Source organism: Homo sapiens, chromosome 19, assembly GCF_000001405.40.
Source record: "Homo sapiens chromosome 19, GRCh38.p14 Primary Assembly".
NCBI lineage: Eukaryota > Metazoa > Chordata > Mammalia > Primates > Hominidae > Homo > Homo sapiens.
In genome coordinates, this window is record NC_000019.10 from 1547708 (window position 1) to 1568529 (window position 20822).

The following is a 20822-nucleotide window of genomic DNA, read 5'->3' on the forward strand; positions in this document are numbered from 1 at the left end:
GGTGGGGACCCAGAGCCAAACCTCCTCAGGACCTCTGTCCCCCCTCCTCTCCTCCCACTGCCTCTGGGCACGCTGGCACCCCTGCCTCCTCTTCCCTGGTTGGTCTTTGGTGAGATGTGTGTCCATTGGTCCCAGAACCTGGCGTTGCCCAGGCTGGAGTGCAGTGGGGCGATCTCGGCTCACTGCAAGCTCCGCCTCCCCGGTTCATGCCAGTCTCCTGACTCAGCCTCCCGAGTAGCTGGGACTACAGGCGCCCGCCACCACGCCCGGCTAATTTTTTGAATTTTTTAGTAGAGACGGGGTTTCGCCGTGTTAGCCAGGATGGTCTCGATCGCCTGACCTCGTGATCTGCCCGCCTTGGCCTCCCAAAGTGCTGGGATTACAGGCGTGAGCCACCACACCCGGCCCAAGACCCTGACTCTTAAAAAATAAGGCCAGGCCAGGTGGCTCACACCTATAATCACAGCATTTTGGGAGGCCAAGGCAAGTGGATCGTTTGAGCTCAGGAGTTGGAGACCAGTCTGGGAAACATGGTGAGACCTCGTCTCTATTAAAAACACAAAAAATTAGCCAGGCACAGTGGCACATGCCTGTAATTCCAGCTACTCAGGAGGCTGAAGCAGGAGAATCGCTGGAACCCAAGAGGTGGAGGTTGCAGTGAGCTGAGACTGTGCCACTGCACTCCAGCCTGGGTGACAGAGCAAGACTCTGTCTCAAGAAAAAAAAAAAAAAAAAAAAAAAAAAGGCCAGTCTCAGTGGCTCACGCCTGTGATCCCAGCACTTTGGGAGGCTGAGGTGGGTGGATCACCTGAGGTCAGGAGTTCGAAACTAGCCTGGCCAACATGGTAAAACCCCGTCTCTACTAAAAATACAAAAACTAGCCGGGCGTGGTGGCAGGTGCCTGTAATCCCAGCTACTCAGGAGGCTGAGGCAGGAGAATCGCTTTAGCCCCGGGAGGTGGAGGTTGCAGTGAGCCGTGATCAAGCCAGTGCACTCCAACCTGGGTGACAGAGCAATAACCTGTCTCAAATAAATAAATAAATAAATAAATAAATAAAATTCAAGCTTAGTAGAATAAAAAATTCAGCTTCCCAGTTGTCCTCGCATTTCAGGTGACAAATCATGCACAGCTGGTGGCTTTGTATCACACAGTGCAGATTTAGACCATTCCCATAATCGTTTTCATCATTGTAGAAAGTTCTATTGAACAACGCTGGGCTAGAACATTCTAGAAGATTCTAGAAAGCTCCAACACAGGAGCCAGCAGCCACCTGAGGGTAATTACATTTAAATTTAGACTTAAATTCTGTTGGCTGGTGAAGTCCAGCACATGCTGGTTTGGTTTTTTTTTTTTTAGGGGTGAGGTAGTTAGACTGCAGCAAAAACAGGGGCTCCCATCACAGTTCTGTGCAGGGGGTGAGTGAGACTGAAGAAACCAAAGACCATATCCCAATTCACTTTCTGAAATCATCTCCCGTTATTTTCACCTGTTCTCTGATTACTCTTTGTTCCCTGCGTGTGCCCTGTCATCCCACCTCCACACCTTTGCCATACTGTCTCCCTTTGACCCCCACATCCAACCAGCCCTGTCTAGCCTTCTGCAGCATCCCCAAGCAGAATTCACTGGGCAGAATTAATCTCTCTCTCCTCTGAACTCCTGATTCACCCATCCATCCACCCATCCCCCTTCCTGTCCACCCATCCACCCATCCATCCATCCAAGCATCCACCCACCCATCCACCCATCCAACCATCCACCCACTCATCCACCCACCCACTCATCCACCTGTTCACCCATCCACCCATCCATTCATCCATCCAACGATCCACCCACCCATCCATCCACGCATCCATCCATCCGTCCATCCATCCAACCATCCAAGCATCCACCCACCCATCCATCCATCTCCAACCATGCACCCACTCATCCCTTCATCCATCCATCCATCCATCCATCCATCCATTTACCCACCCTCCCATCCATCCACTCACCCATGCACTTGTCCACCCATCCACCCATCCATCCACCCACCCATCCATTCACCTACTCACCCATGCACTTGTCCACCCATCCACCCATCCATCCACCCACCCATCCATTCACCTACCCACCCATCCATCCATCCATTCGTCCACCCACTCCCCCATCCCCCCATCCAACCACCCATTCCTCCATCCATCAATTCACCCACCCACCCACTCACCCATCCATCCATCCATCCATCCATCCATCCATCCATCCATCCATTCATCCACTCATCCACTCATCCATTTACCCACCCTCCCATCCATCTACCCCCCCATCCACCCATCCATCCATCCACCCATCCATCCATCCATCCATCCATCCATCCATCCACCCACCCTCCCATCCATCCACCCACCCATCTACTTGTCCACTCATCCACCCATCCATCCACCCACCCATCCATTCACCCACCCACCCATCCATCCATTTAACCACCCACCCACCCACCCACCCAGCAACACATCCATCCACCTACCCATCTAATCATCCATCCATCCATCCATCCACCCACCCACCCATCCATCCATCCATTCGTCTACCCACCCACACCTATCCCCCATCCAACCACCCATTCATCCATCCAATTCACCCACCCATCCACTCACCCATCCACCCACCCATCTACTCATCCATCCGTCCATCCATCCATCCATCTACTCATCCACCATCCACCACCCACCCACCCACCCACCCATTCAACATCCATCCATCCATCCATCCATTCACTCACCTGCCCATCCACCCACCCATCCATCCCCTCCAGAATGTAAGCATCTGACGTCAGTGATTGCGAGGGCGCCTATAGTGGGCCAGCTCTTACTGAGCACTTGCCCTGTACCAGGCTCTGTTGCTCACCAGCTGGTGGTTTACCCTTGGTTAAGCCCCCAATTCCCCATCCTACGGATGCAGAAACCAAGGTTGAGAAGGCGAAGTGACACGCCCAGGGACAGCCCAGGAAGGTGGCGCGGCAGACAGGGGCTCAGGCATCTGACTCTAGAGCCCACCATTTTCCTCATGCATGGTGGACATGGGGCACGGTCTCTACCCTGGGGACATCCCAAGGGACACACGGTGTGTGGATGGTGCGTTCTTCCCACCAAGGGACACAAAATGTGTGGGTGGTGTATCCTTCCCACGTGGAGCCTACAGATGGGAGAACCACAGCCCTGCCCCTCAGTGTCCCCCGTGTCTGATGAGACCTGGAACAGGGGATTTTCAGCAGACATTGGACTAGGGTCACCCCACCATGCCAAGTCCATGAGTCAAAGGAGGTGAATGACAATAGCAATGAGACTTTGTGCCCAGGACACAGGCCAGGCCTCAGCCCTTGGCTTCCCTGAGCTGTGCCGAGACATGGAGAGGCCAATGCATGGGATCCTTGCTTTGCCATTGCTGCCCAGCCCCTCTAGAAAATTCTTCCAGCTCCTTGGTCAGAAATGTGGTCCCTGTAGGTGGTTAGAGTTTCAGTTGTTCCAACTGCTATTAGCTCTGATGATGGAAAGGTTGGCATGGAAAAGTTGGCTTTCAGGCACAGCTGGATCCAGGGCCTCGTGCAGCAACTTTAAGAATCCAGACTGGACCGGATGCAGTGTCTCATGCCTGTAACCCCAGCACTGTGGGAGGCTGGGGCGGGCGGATCACTTGAGGCCAGGAATTCGAGACCTGCTTGGGCAACATGAAGAATCCCCGTCTCTACAAAATATACAAAAATTTAAAAATATACAAAAAATTAGCTAGGCATGATGGTATGTGCCTGTGGTCCCAACTACTAGGGAGGCTGAGGTGGGAAGATCGTTGCAGTCCAGGAGGTCAAGGCTGCTGTGAGTTATGATTGCACCACCACACTCCAGACAGGGCAACAGAGCAAGACCTTGTCTCTTAAAAAAACAAAAACAGAATCCATCTCTGGCCATCTCTTGTGCTGTGCCCAAAGGCCACAGACACTTCAGACTCTCATGTGCCAGCTGAGCAACCCTGCAGTGGGAGTGAGCTCATCCCTCGGATGTCTCCGGAAGTCCTGGGACCAGCATGGTGACACCCCTGGCCCCTGGCTGGGGGGCCTCAGCTCCTCTATATCACTACATCAGAAACGCCTAGAGCAGGTCCTGGCCAGTCTAGACTTGGGCCCTGCCCTGGCGGGTCACCCAGCAGCCTCCCCAAGCTTTGCCATTCCCTTCCGCCGGGCAATTCCCCACCCCACCTCCCAGGGTCTTTGCGCCTAGCTCTGTCATGTCCTCTCTTCTCCCAATTTTTTTTTTTTTTTCGTCGTTGTTGTTGACAGAGTCTTGCTCTGTCACACAGGCTGGAGTGCAGTGGTGTAATCTCGGCTCACTGCAGCCTCAACCTCACTTTGCTCAAGTGATCCTTCCACCTCAGCCTCCCGAGCAGCTGAGACTACAGGTGTGTGCCACCACGTCCAGCTTCCTCCCAGTGTGGAGGTGCCTCTCCTCTCCCCAGCCTCCCCTGCAGTTAGGTGACAAACTGACCCCACTTGGGGCTCCCCGGAAGCAGAGCTGCTCCATGACACCCCCTGAATCCTTGCAGCACCAGACAAAATCATCCCCTTCTGCCCACTCTATCGGAACCCGGGGGCTGCAGGAACCCTCATATCCTTCCAAAAGACTCTCCTCCACCCCTTTGACATTTGTCCCATCTTTGATCCCTCGACCCCTTGGGGGCTGCTCTCATTCTCTCCATGACCCAATTGCAGAGAGGGGAGGGGGGCATCCGCACACCCGCCCCTCCCTGCGGCCTTCTGCAGTCTGGCTGAGGCACGAAGTCAGCCCAGGTCACAGGGTGTGTGGCCTGCAGCCGAACCCAGCCGCTCCGCACAGCTGTGGCCAGACCCAGGTTAACAGTCCCTCCCGGCTGGGCGTGGTGGCTCACACCTGTAATCCCAGCACTTTGGGAGGCCAAGGCAGGTGGATCACGAAGCCAAGAGATTGAGATCATCCTGGACAACTTGGTGAAACCCCATCTCTACTAAAAACACAAAAATTAGCCGGGTGTGGTGGTGGGCACCTGTAATCCCAGCTACTCAGGAGGCTGAGGCAGGAGAATCTCTGGAACCTGGCAGGTGGAGGTTGCAGTGAGTCGAGATCACGCCCGGCTAATTTTTTGTATTTTTGGTAGAGACGGGGTTTCACCGTGTTAGCCACGATGGTCTATGATCTCCTGACCTCGTGATCCACCCACCTTGGCCTCCCAAAGTGCTAGGATTACAGGCGTGAACCACCGCTCCCGGCCCCTCTCCCTCTCTTATAAAAACACTCATGGCCGGGTGCAGTGGCTCACGCCTGTAATCCCAGCACTTTGGGAGGCCGAGGCGGACAGATCACGAGGTCAGGAGATCGAGACCATCCTGGCTAACACGGTGAAACACCGTCTCTACTAAAAATACAAAAAATTAGCCGGGCGTGGCGGCAGGCACCTATAGGCCCAGCTACTCGGGAGGCTGAGGCAGGAGAATGGCGTGAACCCGGGAGGCGGAGCTTGCAGTGAGCCGAGATGGCGCCACTGCACTCCAGCCTGGGCGACAGAGCAAGACTCCGCCTCAAAAACAAAACAAAACCAAACAGAAAAAAAAAAAAAAACAAAAAACACTCATTATTAGATTTAAGGCTTGCTCTAATTCAGGATGATTTCATCTTGAGATCCTTAATTATATCTGCAAAGACCTTTTCCCAAATAAAATCACATTCTCACTTTCTGGGGGACTCCTTATTTTGGTGGGGGGACTCCATTCAACCAATGACACGCCCCTCAGTCTCACCGAGAGGGAGTTTGGGCCTCGAACACCCTGCGTTTTGCGGAGGAGGGAGTTCCAGGCCAGGGGCCTGGGTAGGGCTGGGCTTGAACTCAGGTGTGCGTCTCTGGTGGTTCCTCTCTCCTCCTCGCCTCCTCCTGGAAGCTCTCCAGGCCTCTCTTCCACACGTGCTTCTCTTTCCCTGGTGGGTTCTAAGTCCCAGGCCCCTCCCCAAGGTCCACTCCCCAAGCCTGCAGCCTGTGTGCCCGGCCCCTTCCTTGTCCCCGGAGTGGCCCATCCTGACACCCAGGGGCTTCCTGGCTGTTTTGGGATGGCGCGCTGGGACAGCTCACCATGGGTCCAGCCTGTGGTCTTTTTTTTTTTTTCTTTTTTTTTTTTTTTTGAGACGGAGTCTCACTCTGTCACCCAGGCTGGAGTGCAGTGGTGCAATCTCGGCTCACTACAAGCTCCGTCTCCCGGGTTCACGCCATTCTCCTGCCTCAGCCTCCCAAGTAGCTGGGACCACAGGCGCCCACCACCACGCCCGGCTAATTTTTTTTGTACTTTTAGTAGAGACGCGGTTTCACCGTGTTAGCCAGGATGGTCTCGATCTCCTGACCTCCTGATCCACCTGCCTCGGCCTCCCAAAGTGCTGGGATTACAGGCGAGAGCCACTGCACCCGGCGAGCCTGTGGTCTCAACCCCAGCCCTGAAGAGCTATATCTGGTGGCCCCATGTGTCTGTCATGGCTCCCAGAGCAGTGGGGGGATGACCACGGCTCAAACGTCCTTCACAGACCAGGATGCATCGGGGTCAAACCTGGGACGGGCATTTCCAGGCCTCAGTTTCCCCATCTGCACGACCGCTGGACGGTCTGTTGGGATGGATCCCACACACCCAGAGAGCTGGGCAGATGTCCCTGAGGAAGGACAGCCTGGGTCCCCTTTCTCTGTGGGATCCATGGTTGAACACCCACAGGGATGGGGAGGACCTGAGGTTTGCTCACGGGGAGCCCAGCTAGACCCTCCCCCACAGACCCAATTCCTTCGTCTGGAACAAGGGACAGTGCCTGGTCGGGGTGAGGGCCTGGACCACGGAACTGGGGGGTTGAGGGGCTGGATCCGGGTGTCCCCTGCCCCGGGGTCTCCCCTCCTGGTGCCCATCCCCCACACCACGCTGAAGCCGTGTGCTCACATGTAGAAAAGAGGCTTTATTAAGAAGGCTTTGAAGTCAAAAAATAAAACTCTTGATACAATTTTTTTAACCCTTAAATCAGCTCAGCAAATATATAATCAGTAATTTAGCTGTGTAAGATTAAAGGTCCATTACTTTATTTAAAATAAAATATATTTTAGTTCTTAAAATTTATTCCATAAAGTACATATTTCCCTATAAATTCCCTACATATACACAAGAGGTAAAAAGTAAAAGTAAAAAAAAAAAAAAATTAAAAAAATTTTAAAAATGACAACAGAAACCGCAGTAAAAAGGGGATTAATAATTAACAGAAAGTTAGAAATTTGATTGGAACGCCCCTCGCCCCCGCCCCCCTGCCCCCTCCGGCCGCGCACGGTTGATGTACAAAAGCATAAATGGTTAGCCCCAAAAAGGGAGTAAAAATGTCACCCTCCTCCTCTGGAACGTCTGTGCGGCCTGAGACCGGCCGGCGAGAAAAGTCAAATCAGAAAACGGCTTCGGACGAAAGGAAAAAACGCTGAGCGCTGGAAAAGTCGTGTTTTTTGTTTTGCTTTTTTAAAGATCACCCTGGAGGGGAGGGGTGTCTAAAAATAAGAAAACTAAAAAAAGTGCAAGCGGACCTTTTCTCTCCGGTTTATTGTAACCTGACCACTCAATACTGTCGTTGAAGGGCTGAGGCGCCGCCGGGCTGCGGGGTCTCCGTCTCCACGCCTGAGGCGGCAGTTAAAGCTCATCTGTAAACACTGGCCGCCGCCCACCCCCCTGCCCCCTCGGCCTCCGCCCCTCGCCCCCTCCCCGTCCCTCTCCCACCCCGGGTCCCGCCCCGTCTCCCGCGCCCACCCCTGGCCCCCGCAGATGGCCCCGGCCACGTGGTGGTCCGCGCTCTAGGAAAAGATATGAATGGCCTGGGTGGCCGGCGTGCGGCAGGCGGGACACTCGGGCTCGCTCTTGCCGCAGATGCGGACGGCGCAGTCCATGCAGAAGAGGTTGTGGCCGCAGGGGACCAGCGCAGCCATCACCTCGCCCTCGGCGCACACCACGCACTCTCGCGCCAGGGCCGGGGCCGAGGACGCCGAAGGGGGCTTGCGGCTGTTCTCGGAGGCGCCGGAGTCCAGGGGGGCGCAGGCGGCGGCCGCGGGGCTGCTGGGCAGCGAGGTGGCCGTGGAGAAGGCGGCGCCGCCTGGGAAGGATACGGGGCCCTGCGGGGGTCGCCAGGACAGCGCGCCCACCGGGTCCGGGGCGCCACGGCGAGACAGCGGGAGCTCCAGGCGGAGGCCGCCGGGCTCGGGCAGCGTGGGCGAGTGGCGGGGGGTCCCGGCCCCACTGCTGCGCCGGGCGCCGGCGGCGGGAGGTCCCGGGGCTCCGTTGACCGTGGAGCAGCCGCTGAAGGCGGGCAAGGGGGCGGCGCGCTCAAAAGGCGCCCAGATGGTGGCCGCGGCGGGCACGGTCAGGTCCAGCGCCAGGAAGTCGAAGTCGAAGCCGAAGTCGCAGTCGTCGGGGGCGGCCGTCCCCACCGGGGCACCGGGACCCTCCGCGCCGAAGGCGAAGCCCCCGTTGCCGGAGCCGCTGTAGGGGCTGGCGGGGCCTGGGTCCGGCACGGAGGGGCCGCCGCGGCTGCCCGCGTAGAAGGCCTCGGGGGCGCTGGGGGCGCCCAGGGCCGTGTCCCCGCGGAGGCCGGCCGTGGCCGTGGGGGGCCGTCGTCCCTGGTTGGGGGTCTTGGCCCAGAGGCTGGCGGCCGCCCCGAGCAGGTCCAGGCAGACGTCGGTGCCGTTGGCGTGGAAGTCGCTGTCGGGGCCCGCGTCGGTGAAGGCGCCAGTGCGCAGCGTGATGTGCGCCTCGATCTCCTCGCGCGCGCGGTCCACGTTCTCGGGCATCCCAGTGACCGCGAACACCGGCTCCTTGTCGCGCCCGGGCGTCACGATGTAGGTGTGCGTCCGCTGCTGGATGCGCTTGATGGTGGCGCCCTTGGGCCCCACCACCAGCCCCACCACCCGGTAGGGCACGCGCACCTGGATGGTGGTCTGTCCGGGAAGGTTGGGCGGGCCCTGGGCGGCGCCGGGCAGACCCCCGGCCTTGCTGCGCGTGGCGCGGATGATGGAGAAGTGTTCGGCCGCCGACAGGATCTCACGCTTGGCCATCTCCACGTCCTCCTTCCGGCCGGTCACGATGAAGACCGGCTCCTCGCCCCGCACTGGGGTCTTGATGTAGGTGTTTGTCTTGGCCCGCAGGGCCTTGATCTTGCAGCCTGTCCGGGAGGGAGGGGAAGGACAAGGTGACCCAGAGCCCCCTGCGCAGCTCAGCCCCGCTGGGCATGCAGGCTGCAGGGCCAGTGAGGGAGCCCCTACCTCCCAGCCTGTGCCCAACAACACTTTATCCTCAGACACGCCACGTCCCTTCTTCCCTCAGCCTCAGTTTCCCCTCTGGGCTCGAGTTTGGCCTAAAAGCAAGACGGCAAGGGGACCCTGTTTTAGGTTGAAAGGTGTGCGCCATAATTTATGTTCCCCTGGAACCGCAGTGTGACGGCTGGGGTGTGAATGTTTCCCCCAAGTTCACAAGCTGGACCCTAATATGCGGCGTTGACAGTATTAATTTAATACGTAGGGTCGGCTGGGCCCGTGGCTCACCCATGTAATCCCAGCACTTTGGGAGGCCGAGGCAGGTGGATCACTTGAGGTCAGGAGTTCCAAACCAGCCTGGCCAACATGGTGAAACCCTGTCTCTACTAAAAATACAAGCAATCATCCGGGTGTAGCGGCAGGCACCTGTAGTCCCAGGTACTTGGGAGGCTGAGGCAGGAGAATCACTTGAACCCAGGAGACGAAGGTTGCAGTGAGCCAAGATTGCACCACTGCACCCCAGCCTGGACGACAAAGCAAGACTCCAACTAAAAAAAAAAAAAAAGCGGGGTGCAGTGGCTCACCCCTGTAATCCCAGCACTTTGGGAGGCCAAGTTGGGTGGATCACGAGGTCAGGGGCTCAAGACCAGCCTGGCCAACATGGTGAAACCCTGTCTCTACTAAAATACAAAAAATTAGCCAGGCGTGGTGGCAGGCATCTGTAGTCCCAGGTACTCGGGAGGCTGAGGCGGAAGAATCGCTTGAACCTGGGAGGCAGAGACTGCAGTGAGCCGAGATCGCACACCATTGCACTCCAGCCTGGGTGACAGAGCGAGACTGTCTCAAAAAAAAAAAAAAAAAAAAAAAAAAAAAAAAAAAAAAGCCGCAATTAGCAAGGTGTGGTGGCGCACGCCTGTAATCCCAGCCACTGGGGAGGGCTGAGGCAGAACCGCCTGAACTCAGGAGGTGGAGGGTGCAGTGAGCCAACATCATGCCACTGCACTCCAGCCTAGCCACAGACCAAGACTCCATTTCAAAAAAAAAAAAAAAAAAAGAGCCACAGTGGCAGGGTCAGTGGCTCACACCCGTAATCCTAGTACTTCGGGAATCTGAGGCAGGAGGATCACTGGAGCCCAGGAGTTTGAGACCAGCCTGGGCAACACAGCAGGACCCCATCTCTACTACAAACAACAACAAAAAATTAGCCAGGTGTGGTGGTACACACCTGTAGTCTTAGCTACTCAGGAGGCTGAAGTGGGAGGATCACCTGAGCCCGGGAGGTGGAGGCTGCAGTGAGCTATGATCACACCACTGCACTTCAGCCTGGGTGACAGAGCAAAGCCTTGTCTCAAAAAAAGAAGGAAAAAAAAAAAAAAGACACACACACACAGAGAAGCTGGCCTTGTGGAGACACAGACAGAGACTGCAGTGATGTCTCTACAAGCCAAGGACTGGCCATAGCCCCCGGAAACTGAAGGCGCCCCCCGCCCTGCCCACACCTTGACTTGGAACTTTTATCTTACAGAAATGAGAGAGGAGACGTTTCCATGGTTTCAAGCCCCCATTGTGTCAGCCCAGAGAGCAACTGGAGACCCTCTGACACCACCTCCCGGCCCAACAGGAGGGGAAGCCGAAATTCAGATTGTGGAAACTGCCTACAATTTTCTTCCGGCCAAATGACCCTCCCTAGGCTACCAAGACCCTGGCCTAAGGGGAGCCGAGGTCTCGGCCCGACTGCAGACGCCCGCACCCTGACTCCAGATGCCTCCGAGGCATCCAGGTGGGCCCTGAGGGGCCTGCTGTGGCTTTGTTCTTGTTGGCTGGGCTGGGGGTCTGACCTGGTGAGGGACATGAGTGTCAGTGTGGGAGGCAGGGCTCTCCTCACCGATTGTGTAGGCAACCGCTGACCAGGTATGGCCTTCTTGGGGTCCCAGACATCCCTACCCCACCCCTGGGGCCTTAATGGTTTTTTTTTTTTTCTTTTCCTTTTTTGAGATTATCTCACTCTTGTTACCCAGGCTGGAGTGCAGTGGTGTGATCATAGCTCACTGCAGCCTTCAACTCCTGGGCTCAAGTGATCCTCCCACCTCAGCCTCCAGAGCTGGCACCACCATGCCCAGCTTAATTAGTTATTGAGACGGAGTTTTGCTCTTGTTGCCCAGGCTGGAGTGCAGTGGTACCATCTCGGCTCACTGCAACCTCTGCCTCCTAGGTTCAAACAATTCTCCTGCCTCAGCTTCCTGAGTAGCTGGGATTACAGGCGCCCACCACCACACCCAGCTAATTTTTTTTATTTTTAGTACAGATGGGATTGCACCATGTTGGCCAGGCTGGTCTTGAACTCCTGACCTCAGGTGATCCACCTGCCTTGGCCTCCCAAAGTGCTGGGATTACAGGCGTGAGCCACCACGCCCGGCCTATTTTTATTTTTAGTAGAGATGGGATCTCACTATATTGCCCAGGCTGGTTTCAAATTCTTGGGCTCAAGCAGTCCTCCTGCCTCGGCCTCCCAAAGTGCTGGGATGACAGGTGTGGGCCACTGCGCCCGGCCCGTGAAGGAGTTTTGAGCCACTGCTCACAACCCCTCAGGCTCTGGGGAAGCAGAGGGAGCTGCAGGGATGTTTCAATACAGTCAGAAGGTGGCTCTGAGGGGAAAACAGTGTTGCTAACTCTCCCACAGTGCAAGAGATGAAATGAGCAGGATCAGCACTTTTGACGGGGAAGAAGTCAGAAACTGCCTGGGCCAGGAAGATGGAAGGCGTGGGACCTGGAGGCTGGTGGTCCCAGGGGCTCGGTAGGGAGGACCCTGGGAGGGGTGGCGGGGGTGCACCCACTCGGAGGAGGACAGCAGTTTTCCCGCCCCAGCTGCACTGCCACCACACCTGTCCCTCCCAGTCGCAGCATTCTGTTCACCTCCATTGCACCCAGTCCCCTCCATTCTTCTGTACAGTCCGGTGTCCCCCTCCTCCAGGAAGCCCACCCTGACTGCATCGGGTTGGGCCTGCTCTTCTGAGTCTCTCCTAACATGCCTGACTCTCTGAGCTGCCTCCCTGAGGCTGGAGGATGGGGCTGGGGATTCCCTCGGCACTTGGGGGACCTTGCTATGCCTGTTTCTTCACTGTGAAAGGGGAAGGTAACAGGCCTGGCTTCACAGGCCCGGCTTCACAGGCCCTCAGAGGGCCATGACCAGGCCGTTGGCTCCTGGCAGCCACCCTGGCAGGTCTCACTGCAGCCCACAGTGTTTGCTTTAGATAGATCCTCCTTGAGGAAGGGAAACTGAGGCACAGGGAGTGGAGACCCAGCAAGGCTGGGGAAGGAGGTGCCACCCACAGATGGAGGCTCCGCTGGCCCTGCCCACAGGCAGGAAGTGAGCCTGTTCCCCATCACGCCGACCCGGCAGAGGGCAGAGCCCGCCAGCGTTGCCAGGGTGCAGCATGGGGTCCTCCCTTGCTGATCTGGGAGCCGCCCCGGGTCCCCAGAGGGTCACACGTGGGAGAGGCTGCCCCGACGTGGCCACCGCTGAGCTCACAGGCTGTGGTCACAGAAAGTCTGGTCTGGGTGAGATGACAAATTTGGGAGATGGAGGTGGCAAGGAAGGGGGCGTGTGACTGTCTGAGCAGAAACCAGGATGGTGCTGGGAGCCACGCGTGCGTCGGGGCAGGGGAGGGAACTGGCGCCTCCCCCTCCCCTTACTCCATCCTGCCCTAACCCAGACGGTGGCGCTGGGTGGAGACCTCACAGCTAGAAGGCCTCTAGGACCTCAAAGACGGAGCTGGAGCTCAATTCATTGGTGCTGCGTCTGCTTTGACACGTGCTGGCCCCCAAAACTCCACCCACATCAAGACGCCAAGGGGCCAAGGAATCGGGGCTCCAGGAGTGATCCCAGCCCACCCCTGCCCCACTGGAAATGACACAGCGAGGCTAGAGGGACAGGAAGCCTGAAGGGCGGGCTCTGGGGGACACCGAAGGTTGGCAGGCACTGAAATGCAGATTCGTGGGCCATGTCCCCAGAATTCCAACTCGGAGGGCTTGAGATGCCTGGGAATCGGGGTGACCACCCCAGAGTCTGGCCCTGACCTGTCCCACACCCCCAACCCACAGCAGCCAAGTCTCCCCCTACCAGGGCCCCACGCAGCACACACACCAGCGGGCATCACTCATCCAGCCCGTCCAGGGTCCTGGCTGCAATGACCGTGCACTACGACTTACCAATGAAACCACAAGTCCTGGTGTGGGAGCCGAGGCCACCAGCCCAGGCTGGATGGGTTTGCCATGGCAGGAAGGGGAATGTGAACCCCAGGGAGCCGCTGAGGCAACAGCAAGGACAGGATTCTAGAAGCAGGACGGGGCGAGAACAAGGCCTCACAGCCAACACTCAGTCCAACACGCAGCCGCCCCCAGCCAGGCAGCCGGGTGACGCGGGACAGCAGCATCCCAGACCTGGGCCACTATGGAAGCCAGCGGGAGCTGAGGGGTCTGGTGGGGAGGAGGGAAGCTGGTTCAGCTGTCAAACAGGGATGTCAAAACCCCCTCCCAGGCCAGGAACAGTGGCTCACACCCGTACGTAGTTCCGGCACTTTGGGAGGCCAAGGCAGGAGGATCACTTGAGGCCAGGAGTTCGAGACCAGCCTGGGCAACATAGCAAGATCCTGTCTCTATAAAGGGTGTCACCTGTCGCCCAGGCTGGAGTGCAGTCACAGCTCACTGCAGCCTTGACCTCCTGGGCTCAAGCCATCCTCTCACCTCAGCCTCCCGAGTAGCTGGGACTACAGTTATGCACCACCACCCCCGGCTAATTGTTTAAAGCTTTTCTGCAGAGACAGGGTCTTATTATGTTGCCCAGGCTGGTCTGGAACTCTTGGGCTCAGGTGATCCTCCCATCTCAGCCTCCCAAAGTGCTAGGATTACAGGTGTGAGCCACCATATCCGGCCTCTACAAAAAATTTTTAAAAATTAGCCAGGTGTGGCCGGGCACGGTGGCTCACACCTGTAATCCCAGCACTTTGGGAGGCCAAAATGGGTGGATCACGAGGTCAGGAGATCAAGACCATCCTAGCTAACACGGTGAAACCCCGTCTCTACTAAAAATACAAAAAATTAGCCGGGTGTGGTGGTGGGCGCCTGTAGTCCCAGCTACTTGGGAGGCTGAGGCAGAAGAATGGCGTGAACCTGGGAGATGGAGGTTGCAGTGAGCTGAGATCGCGCCACTGCACTCTAGCCTGGGCGACAGAGTGAGACTCCGTCTCAAAAAAAAAAAAAAATTAGCCAGGTGTGGACCGGGCACAGTGGATCACGAGGTCAGGAGTTCGAGACCAGACTGACCAACATGGTGAAACCCCATCTCCACTAAAAATACAAAAATTAGCCGGGCGTGGTGGCGGGCGCCTGTAATCCCAGTTACTCGGGAGGCTGAGGCAGGAGAATCGCTTGAACCCGGGAGGCAGAGCTTGCAGTGAGCCGAGATTGCACCACTGCACTCCAGCCTGGGCGACAGAGTGAGACTCCGCCTCAAAAGAAAAGAAAAGAAAAGAAAATTAGCTGGGTGTGTTGGTGCGCACCTGTGGTCCCAGCTACTTGGGAGGCAGAGGTGGGAGGATCGTCTGAGCCCAGGAGGTTGAGGCTGCAGTGAGCTACAATCACACCACTGCACTCAGGACAGAGCAACAGAACCAGACCCTGTCTCAAAAACAACAAAACAAAACAACAACAACAAGAAACCGCTAGGCGTGGTGACTCACACCTGTAATCCCAGCACTTTGGGAGGTGGAGGCAGGCGGATGACCTGAGGTCAGGAGTTCGAGACCGGCCTGGCCAACATGGCGAAACCCCGTCTCTACTAAAAATACAAAAATGAGCCTGGCGTGGTGGTGGCAGATACCTGTAATCCCAGCTACTCGGGAGGCTGAGGTGAAAGAACTGCTTGAACCTGGGAGGTGGAGGCTGCAGTGAGCCGAGACTGAGCCACTGTACTCCAGCCTGGGCGACAAGAGCAAGACCCTGTCTCAAAATGAAAAGAAAAAAACCTCTCGGGGAATGAAGGGAACATGTACACTGTACTAACGCCAGAACTCTCAGTTGGGTCTGCAGTGTGGAGGTTTCCTAGCAGAGCCTTTCTTCCTAGGGCTCTGCAGTGTATGGACAGGAAAACCATGGCATGGTCCCCACCAACACCCCAGCACTGTCCCCAGCTGTCGGGAAAACCTGGGGCCTGCGGGGATGGGAGGAGAAGAGGAGCCTCTGGGGCTGCAGCCAGGAACAAGGGACAGGAGGGGAGACAGTGAGCCAGGGGTCGCCCCCAGCTGAGGGGAACAACCTAAAATCACTAGCCTTAGCCTGTGCCGACAGCAGAGAGAGCGAGCCCTGAGCAGCTTCCAGTCCAGGCCCTGCCTTCAACATCACTCACTCATTCATTCATTCATTAGCCACAGAACACCTTCTGTGTACAGGCCCTGGCAAGACACTGAAGACCCAACCATGACCAAGCACCTGCCCTGGTTCCTGTCCCTGGGAACATGCAGGGGGAGAGGCTGCCACGGAGCACAGATTCACCCAGGGTGCCTGGCAAGCGGGGTGAGAAAGGAGGGTACATGTTGGGGTCTCAGCAGGAGCAGGGCCGGAGGTCCCCTAGAGCACCTTTGCTGGCCGGCTGGAGGGAGACGCCTGTGCTTTTGGGTCTCCACTTTGCCTGTCTCCCAGACAGGGCTGCCTCCCCTCACCCCCAGCCCTCAAGCTTTGGAATCTGAAATTTTCTTTGCTGACCCACCAGAGAAACTGGGTTTGAATCCCAGCCCATGATTTTTGTTTTGTTTTGGAGACAGGGTCTTGCTTTGTTGCCTAGACTGGAGAGCGGTGACAAGATCATAGCTCACTGCAGCCTCGACCGCCCAGGCTCAAGTAATCCTCCTGCCTCAGCCTCCAGAGTAGCTGGGGCTGCAGGAGTGTGCCACCATGCCTAATTTTTGTATTTTTTTTTTTGTAGAGACAGGGTTTCGCCATGTTGGCCGGGCTGGTCTCGATTCCTAGGCTCGAGGGATCCTCCTGCCTCAGCCTCTCTGAGTGCTGCTATCCCCTCAGTTTTTACCTATTCTTTACCTCTTGCAGCCTCTGCCTCCCCATCTGTGACCTGGGAGCTGCAGGACCTTTCCTGGGGCACATTATGGGCCTCAGTGAGATGGGGCAGGTCAAGTCTGGCATAGGCTTAGCACACAGTAGACCCTCAATAAAGATCTAGCCAATGGCCAGGCGCAGTGGCTCACACCTGTAGTCCCAGCACTCTGGGAGGCTGAGGTGGGTGGATCACCTGAGGTCAGGAGTGTGAGACCAGCCTGGCCAACATGGCGAAACCCCGTCTCTACTGAAAATACAAAAACCAGCTGGGCATAGTGGCACGTGCCTGTAATCCCACATACTAGGGGGGCTGAGGCAGGAGGATCGCTTGAACCTGGGAGGTGGAGCTTGCAGTGAACCGGGATCGTGCCATTGCACTCCAGCCTGGGCAACAGAGCGAGACTCCATCCCAAAAAAAAAAAAAAAAAAAGATATAGCAAATGAATGAACTGGAGCCTCCAGCAGATGGGTGGGAACTCAGAGGGTTTGAATGACCACAGTCTGCCCAGAAAGCACTCGGACCCCCTCTAGGATCAAGAGAACTGAAGCTCAGAGAACAGCACGTAGCTACTGGGGAGAGGGCTGGTGCCAGGCCTGTGTGACTCTTGTCTAGGTGGGGAGGCCGGACAGGTGCACCCTTCCTGGCCTCCAGGGAAGGGGTAACCTTGGAGCTTGGGTTTGACAGAGAAGCATGAGAAGTTCAGAGAGCCCCAGGGTGGAGAGGAAGGTGAGTAAAGGGGCAGGGCCGGGGCACAAAGGACATTGAAAGGTATGCTTGAGAACGGGGTGGGTGGGAGAAGCTGGGAGCCACAGATGGTTCTACAGTGTGGAAGAAGTACAGACTACCGAAGCTGTGGAAGACGTAAGGACTACTGAAGCTGCCAACCTGTCCTGGCATCCACAGTTGCATCCCTGGCAACGCGCACTCCACTTATGGGGTGGCCACTGTGTGTGACCTGGAGCTGGGATTAAAACCAGCAACTTGGGTCCAGGCATAGTGGCTCACACCTGTAGGAACCCCAGCACTTTGGGTGGCTGAGGATCGCTTGAGGCCAGGAGTTCAAGACCAGCCTGAGCAACAGAGCAAGACCCTGTCTCTACAAGAAAAACTTTATAATAAAAACAAATAAATAAAACTGGCCGTGCGCAGTGGCTCACGCCTGTAATCTCAGCACTTTGGGAGGTGGAGGTGGGCGGATCACTTGAGGTCGGGAGTTCGAGACCAGCCTGGACAACATGGTGAAACCCCGTCTCTACTAAAAATACAAAAATCAGCTGAGCGTGGTGGCTCACACTTGTAATCCCAGCTACTCAGGAGGCTGAGGCAGGAGAACTGCTTGAAACCAGAAGGCGGAGTTTGCAGTGAGCCCAGATCACGTCACTGCACTCCAGCCTGGGCGACAGAGCGAAACTCCGTCTCATAAATAAATAAATAAAACCAGCATCTTGCCCCAGAATCCTCTACCCTAATGGAGGTGAGACGTCCGCACATCACAGAGAGGGGCCGTCATCTGCGCAGGGCCACGGCGGCCTGCAGGACAAGCAATCAGGGCCCACTCTACCCCCGACCCCCACTGTACCCCAGGGCCTGCCTTGCTGACGGCCACCAGCAAGAGCCCAGTAAGTGGGTGCAGAACGCACAGGCCAGAGGTGGGGGCTGAGCCTGGTGCCCACAGACTCCATTTCCCATGGACCTGCCCCTAGAGAATTCCCACCCTGAGGCCACAGGTCTAGAAGCTCTCAGCCTGACGCTGATTCCTGCCAGCTCCCCATGTGGCCATAGCCTCGCTCAAAGGCCCTTGGGTGCCAGGACAAGCGCGTTCACAAAGAACACAGCCACAGCCTCCACCACCTGGAGGCTCAGGCTCGTGCCTTTGGTCACTTGGTCCCCAGGCCTCGGCTTGGACGCCTGTCTCCACAGGCTCCCAGACACTCCGCACAGGGCAGCTGTCCCGTTCTAGGCCCTGGGTATGGGACATGGAGGCCGGGTGGAAGGCCTCAATGGGGAGGCAGTAACAGGATGGTAGGGCGCCCTCCTGCCAGGGGGTCCCACCAAGGGCAGCCAGCAGGACTGAGACAGAACCCAGTCCCTCCCCACCCACCACTCCAGAGCATGCTTCCTGGGGCCAGCACCATGCCTGACCCTCCGTGGGTCCCCACATGAGCTGGACAAATGAACGACCAAAAGACAGGAGGCTGTGGTGCCCCACCCACCTGGACCGAGGGAAAGGGCGGAGGGGAGGGCGCCCTGGTGGTCCCCCGCCTGAGGCCAGGGCCATAGATGACCTTGCAATCCCAGCCCCCCACACCTTTCTCTGGCCTGGATTCCCGAGGGCCCCGGGGAGGCAGGGACCCCCAGCCCAAGTGTCCTGCGGCCCCACCACCAGCCCCGCCAAGGCCCCACCCCAAGTTCTAGAACCTGGCTGATCACTGGCGGTCAGCGGGGACCCAGGAGCGGGGAGGGGTGGCGGGAAGGCAGGAGAAAGTTGAGGGAGGCAGGCGGGCGGGTGGCTAACGGGGTGGTGGGTGTGAGCTGGGCCAGGCACTGCCCACCACCCGCCCGCCCGCCCCGCAGCTCGGGGGCCAATGAGCAGCGGCCGGCCTGATGTCACCCTGCAAATCTCAGCCTCGCTCTCTAACAAAGAGAACAATGGGGCGGCCAGAGGGAAGCTCCGACGATGCCACCGCTGGACCCCACACCCGGGGCCTGCCGCCCGCCGGCCTGCCCAGCAGGCTGCACCCCAGAAGTGGCTTTGACAGCCGGTCCTTCCCCAGGCCCCGAAATCCCTGACTCGGGGCCAGAGAGTGGAGCAGGGACCCTCTCCTGCCCGGTCCCGTCCCCACCCCAGTCAGGGCCCCAGGCTGGAGACTGAGACGTGCGCTCTTTGTACTGTCAGCCTTCTCTCCCGGTCCTGCAGGCGGCCCCCCTAAGCCACCCCTAAACCTGCGCTTGCCCCGCCCCGCCGCCTGTGCTGGGTGTGGGGCGCCCCCCGCCCGGCCGGAGCCCCGGGCCCTCGAGCCCCTCTCTGGGGTGCCCCTGCGGGCGGCCGAGGGCCTGGGCTGCGGCGCGGCTCCCCGGAGCCTTTCCGGGCTGGAGGCGGCCCAGACAAAGGCGGCGGCGGGGCCGGAGCGCGCAGGGGAGGAGCGCGGGCTGCGCCCAACTTTCTCCCGCGGCGGCTGCAGGACAAAGGCGCAAAGGCAGCGGCCGAGGCCGGAGCCCACGCGGGGCGTGTCCGGTGCGGGGCGTCCGGCGCGGGCTGGGCTGGGCTCGGGCGACCCCCTTCCCCGGGGCGGACGGTGCGGGGACCCCCAGGACAGCAACCCCCGACGAGGGCCACTCACCCTGGCGACCCACGATCTCGGCGACGTGCTCGGAGCTGGGCACCGGGACGCACTCGGTCATGTTGACGCTTTTCTTGCGGCTGCCGATCACGCTCATCTGGTCGGCCAGCAGCGTCGGGGGCCCCAGGGCCGCGGGGTGGGGCGCGAAGCCCGCGAACACGTCGGGGGGCGACGGCCGGGGCGGCGGCGGCGGCGGGGGACTCGCGTTGGGGTCCAGCAGCGGCAGCGACCCGGGGGCCACGGCGGGGGCCAGGGTCGGGGGCGCGCCGGCCTCAGGTCCGTCGGGGGGCACAGGCTCCGGAGCCGCCCCGCCGTCCGCGCCCCCCGCCGCCGCTGCGCCGTCCCCGGCCGCCCCCTCCTCGTCCGTGTCGCCAGCGCCCCCCAGCCCGAGCGCCGACAGCTGGTCCAGCGCCAGGCGGAGCGCGGCGGCCGCGTCGTCGGGTTCGGGCGGCGGCCGGGGCGCGGGCGCGGCCTCCTGGGCGCCCTCGGGCGGGGGCGCAGGTCCGGGTCCGGGGTCCTCCCCCGCCGCCCCCACGCCGCCGCCGCCGCCGCCCCCGCCCCCGCCGCCGTCGGGCTGGCCGAGCGAGCTGGGCATGGCGGGAGCTAGCGCTGGGGCCCGCGCTCCTGCCGCCCGCGCCGCCGCCGCCGCCCGCGCCGCCCTCCGCCTCTGCGAGCTGGGCCGCCGGCCGCCTGCATCCAGCGGCGGGGGCGGGCACGGGGGGCCGGGCGGGCGGGGCGGCGGCGGCGCGGGGCTGCTCGGGGCCGGGCCGGGCCGGGCCGGGCGGCGGCAGCGACTCTGGCTGCGGCTCGGCGGCGGCGGCGACGGCGGCGGCGGCTCCTCGGCGGCCGAGGCGGCGGCGGCGGCGCGGGACGCTCCTTCCCTCCCGCCGCCTCCCGCGGCCCCGCCCCGGCCCCGCCCCCGCGACGTCACGCCGCGGCCCAACAATGGGCGGCCCCCAGGGCGCAGGCGCGCGGGGCGGGGCCGGGGCGGGGCCGGCGCCGGGCACGTGGTCCAGGCCCCGCCTCCGCCCGGCGCTCGGGCGGGAACCCGGGCGCATCCGCACGT

The 20822-nt window shown here is 59.3% G+C and overlaps 1 protein-coding gene across 2 annotated transcripts, besides 4 other annotated features; it reads right to left on the bottom strand.

Annotated features, from left to right (window-relative positions):
- Positions 6965 to 20618, bottom strand: MEX3D (mex-3 RNA binding family member D). 2 transcript variants are annotated; one of them, NM_001174118.2, is made up of 3 exons: positions 19757 to 20618; positions 7870 to 9216; positions 6965 to 7682 (listed from the first exon to the last, which is right to left on the bottom strand). In NM_001174118.2, exons 1-3 carry the CDS (start codon positions 20349 to 20351, stop codon positions 7624 to 7626), a joined length of 2001 nt encoding a protein of 666 aa, NP_001167589.1. In that variant the 5' UTR covers positions 20352 to 20618; the 3' UTR covers positions 6965 to 7623. The 2 variants fall into 2 exon arrangements, with proteins under 2 accessions (NP_001167589.1, NP_976049.3); NM_203304.4 differs by having other exon boundaries at positions 6965 to 9216.
- Positions 13283 to 13577: a silencer, noted in NCBI's record as "tiled region #1835; HepG2 Repressive non-DNase unmatched - State 15:Elon, and K562 Repressive non-DNase unmatched - State 14:Gen5'". NCBI's record gives its function as "represses a minimal TATA promoter and a strong SV40 promoter by Sharpr-MPRA in HepG2 and K562 cells {active_cell/tissue: HepG2 | K562}" and the evidence as "EXISTENCE:reporter gene assay evidence [ECO:0000049][PMID:27701403]".
- Positions 13283 to 14136: a biological region, named in NCBI's record as "Sharpr-MPRA regulatory region 1835".
- Positions 13309 to 14136: an enhancer, noted in NCBI's record as "H3K27ac-H3K4me1 hESC enhancer chr19:1561015-1561842 (GRCh37/hg19 assembly coordinates)". NCBI's record gives its function as "activates a minimal SCP1, AML or CMV promoter by ChIP-STARR-seq in naive H9 embryonic stem cells {active_cell/tissue: H9 hESC(naive)}" and the evidence as "EXISTENCE:reporter gene assay evidence [ECO:0000049][PMID:30033119]".
- Positions 20618 to 20807: a silencer, noted in NCBI's record as "silent region_9728". NCBI's record gives its function as "represses an Ori minimal core promoter by ATAC-STARR-seq in GM12878 lymphoblastoid cells {active_cell/tissue: GM12878}" and the evidence as "EXISTENCE:reporter gene assay evidence [ECO:0000049][PMID:35858748]".

What these genes read in the sequence shown, in the direction of transcription:
- MEX3D (NM_001174118.2), bottom strand. Translation starts at nt 20,351, where the DNA reads ATGCCCAGCTCGCTCGGCCAGCCCGACGGCGGCGGGGGCGGGGGCGGC. An exon ending in CGAGATCGTGGGTCGCCAGG is followed by an intron (nt 9,217 to 19,756) that starts GTGAGTGGCCCT and finishes CCTCCCGGACAG; the next exon opens with GCTGCAAGATCAAGGCCCTG. An exon ending in GCCGGCCACCCAGGCCATTC is followed by an intron (nt 7,683 to 7,869) that starts ATATCTTTTCCT and finishes CTGCCGCCTCAG; the next exon opens with GCGTGGAGACGGAGACCCCG.